Source organism: Homo sapiens, chromosome 8, assembly GCF_000001405.40.
Source record: "Homo sapiens chromosome 8, GRCh38.p14 Primary Assembly".
NCBI classification, from domain to species: domain Eukaryota; kingdom Metazoa; phylum Chordata; class Mammalia; order Primates; family Hominidae; genus Homo; species Homo sapiens.
The window spans coordinates 108642249-108645645 of NC_000008.11; the positions used below are offsets into that span (position 1 = coordinate 108642249).

Genomic DNA, 3397 nt, shown 5'->3' on the forward strand with positions numbered 1-3397 from the left:
ATTAACTGGACGTGGTGGTGCATGCCTGTAATCCCAGCTACTCAGGAGGCTGAGACAGGAGAATTGCTTGAAGTTGGGAGGCGGAGGTTGCAGTCAGCCGAGACTGTGTCACTGCACTCCACCACAGAGCGAGACTCCATCTCAAAAAAAAAAAAAAAAAGAGAGAAAATATATGTGTTCAATTATTTGTGTGATACATCTGTTAATTGCTTGAATGGTCCTAGAAAACAATCGACAAAGCTGGTAAACTGCAATTGTCTGCACACTTTCGACTTTATTCAGAAGACACATATGGCTTTATCAGTTCATTCTCCAATAATGCATAGTGTTCAACAAATTTGTGTAATAGGTTTAGAATTAATTAACTACTGAGATGAATACTCGTTTGAGAGCCACAAATACACTTTACTATCAATCTAGCTCCCAAAACTACTAGCAGAAGACCTAAAAATAGGTAGCTATTCAATAAATATTTAGTGAATGAATGAACTCATGAATTTAGTTAAACAGTCACACTCAGGAATATTGCAAGGCACATCTGTTTTCAGCTCTTCTAAGAAAAGTAGGCTCAAAGGCCTATTATATCATGAAAAGTTATTAAATTCATTGTAGGAATTGTTACAAGTTCACGACTGCGCTCTGAATGATAATCTGGTAAAATTAGAATGATAATCCCATAGAAAAATAAAACATCTCTTAACTCATTCATTTATTGGTGTACTCAACAAACATTTATGAGCACTCACTATATACCCCTTACCCCTACCGTCAATATTAAGCAATGGGAATATAACAATGTAAAAGACTGGCATGGCTCCTGCTGTTATGAAATTTGCAGTCTAATGGAGGAGACAAATAAATAGCTAATTTCAAGAGTATACAGTCCACGCTAGAGAAATACATAGCCTAACCCAGTGGTCTTCAAACTTAGTGTGCATCAAAATCATTTGGAAAGCTTTTTAAAAACACAGATTGCTGTACCCAACTGAAGAACTTCTGATTCAGTGCATCTGGGATGTATGCCAAGAAGTTGTATTTGAAGTTCTCAGGTGATGCTGATGCTGCTGGTCCAAGGATAACACTTTGAGAACCATTGACTTAGACTAAAGGAGTGTTAGGCTGAGCTAAACTCTGCAATCTCATTATTTCACTTATAACTTGAGGCCAGGGTAATTCGTTGAAATACTAATTTGTATAGATATATTTATTCCTTCCTGATTTTCAAGGACAGAGCTGATCTTTAGCAATTTTTTGCCACACATATTTTTGGAAAGTGTAAGGCAGAAGCTTTTTGAACTAAGGGGCCTTTTGTAAACATCTACACTCCATTTCAAAGAGTTTATGAGGCCAGGTGCAGTGACTCATGCCTGTAATTCCAGCACTTTGGGAGGCTCAGGTGGGAGAATCACTTGAGGCCAGGATTTGGAGACCAGCAACATGGCAAGAACGCATCTCTAAAAGAAAAAGAAAACGAAAGCAAGAATGCATATCCCATTCACAATAGACAAAAGAAAAAAAAAACAACCTAGGAATACCTTTAACCAAGGAGTCAAAAGATCTCTACAAGGAGAACTATAAAACACTGCTGAAAGAAATCAGAGATGACATAAACAACTGGAAAAATATTCCATGCTCATGGATTAGAAAAATCAATGTTGTTAAAATGGCCATATTGCCCAAAGCAATCTACAGATTCAATGCTATTCCTATCAAACTACCAATGACATTTTTCACAGAATAAGAAAAAACTATTCTAAAGTTCAGATAGAACCAAAAAAAGAGCCTAAGTAGACAAAGCAATCTCAAGCAAAAAGAACAAAGCTGAAGGCATCACATTTTCTGACTTCGAACTGTAACATAAGACTACAGTAACCGAAACAGTACCGTATTGGTATAAAAACAGACACATAAACCAATGGAACAGAATAGAGAAGCCAGAAATAAAACCGCAAACCTACAGCCTTGTCGATCCTTGACAAGGTCGACAAAAACAAGCAATGGGAAAATGATTCCCTGTTCAATAAATGCTGTTAGGATAACTGGTCAGCCACATGCAGAGGAATGAAATAAGACCTCTACTTTTTACCAGATGCAAAAATTAACTCAAGATGGATTAAATATTTAAATATTTAAATGTAAGACTTCAAACTATAAATTCTTAGAAGAAAACTCCATTCTGGACATTGGTCTTGGCACAGAACTGATGGCTAAGACCTCAAAAGCAATTGCACCGAAACCAAAAATTGACACATGGGACCTAATTAAACAAAAGCGCTTCTGCACTGCAAAAGAAACTGTCAACAGACAAAGCAGACACCCTGCAGAATGAGAGAAAACATTTGCAAACTATGCATCTGACAAAGGTCTAATATCTAGACTTTATAAAGAACTTAAACAAATCAACAAACAAAAACAAACAACCCTGTTAAAACGTGCGCAGAGAACATGAACAGACACTTTTCAAAAGAAGACATACAGTGGCCAACAAACATATGAAAAAAATGCTGTAAATCACTAATCATTAGAGAAATGTAAGTCAAAACCACCATGAGGTAAAACCTCACACCAGTCAGAATGGCTACTATTAAATAGTCAAAAAATAATAGATGCTGGTGAGGCTGCAGAAAAAAGGGCATGCTTACATATTATTAGTGAGAGTGTAAATTAGTTCAGCCATTGTGGAAAGCAGTTTTGATATTTCTCAAAGAATTTAAAACAGGACTACCATTCGACCCAACAATCTGATTATTGGGTATATATCCAAAGGAAAATAAATCATTCTACCAAAGAGACACATGCACTCACTTATTCATCAGAGTACTATTTTCACAATAGCAAAGACTTGGAATCAACCTAGGTGCCCATCAATGGTAGATTGGATAAAAAAATGTGGTGCATATACACCATGGAATACTACACGCCACAAAAATGAATGAAATCATGACCTTTGCAGCAACATAGATTCAGCTGGAGGTCATTATCCTAATCAAATTAGTATAGGAACAGAAAACCAAATACTAAATGTTCTCACTTATAAGTGGGAGCTAAGCATTGGGTACACGTGGACACAAAGATGAGTAAAATTGACACTGGAAACTCCACAATATGGGAAGGAAGGAGTGGGGCAAGTGCTGAAAAACTTTTGGATACTATGCTCAGTGCCTGGGTGATGGGATCAGTCACACCCTAAACCTCAGCATCATGCAATATACTAGTTGCATGTATTGGTATTGAGATCTAGCAGAAAGAAGAAATTTTGGTTGTGCTAGAGAAATCTGGGGTCAGTGATCAGAAATCTGTGATCAGAGGAGAAGCTTGACCCATTTCATGATCATGTACTAGAGACATGACAAGATCATGTCCAAGAAACATGGCAAAAATGGGGCATCAAAGGAAA

At 36.9% G+C, this 3397-nt stretch overlaps 1 protein-coding gene across 1 annotated transcript in view; it reads right to left on the reverse strand.

Moving 5' to 3' along the window:
• TMEM74 (transmembrane protein 74) overlaps positions 1 to 3397 on the reverse strand; it is a 180745-nt gene that overhangs the window by 35399 nt on the left and 141949 nt on the right. The window lies entirely within an intron of this gene.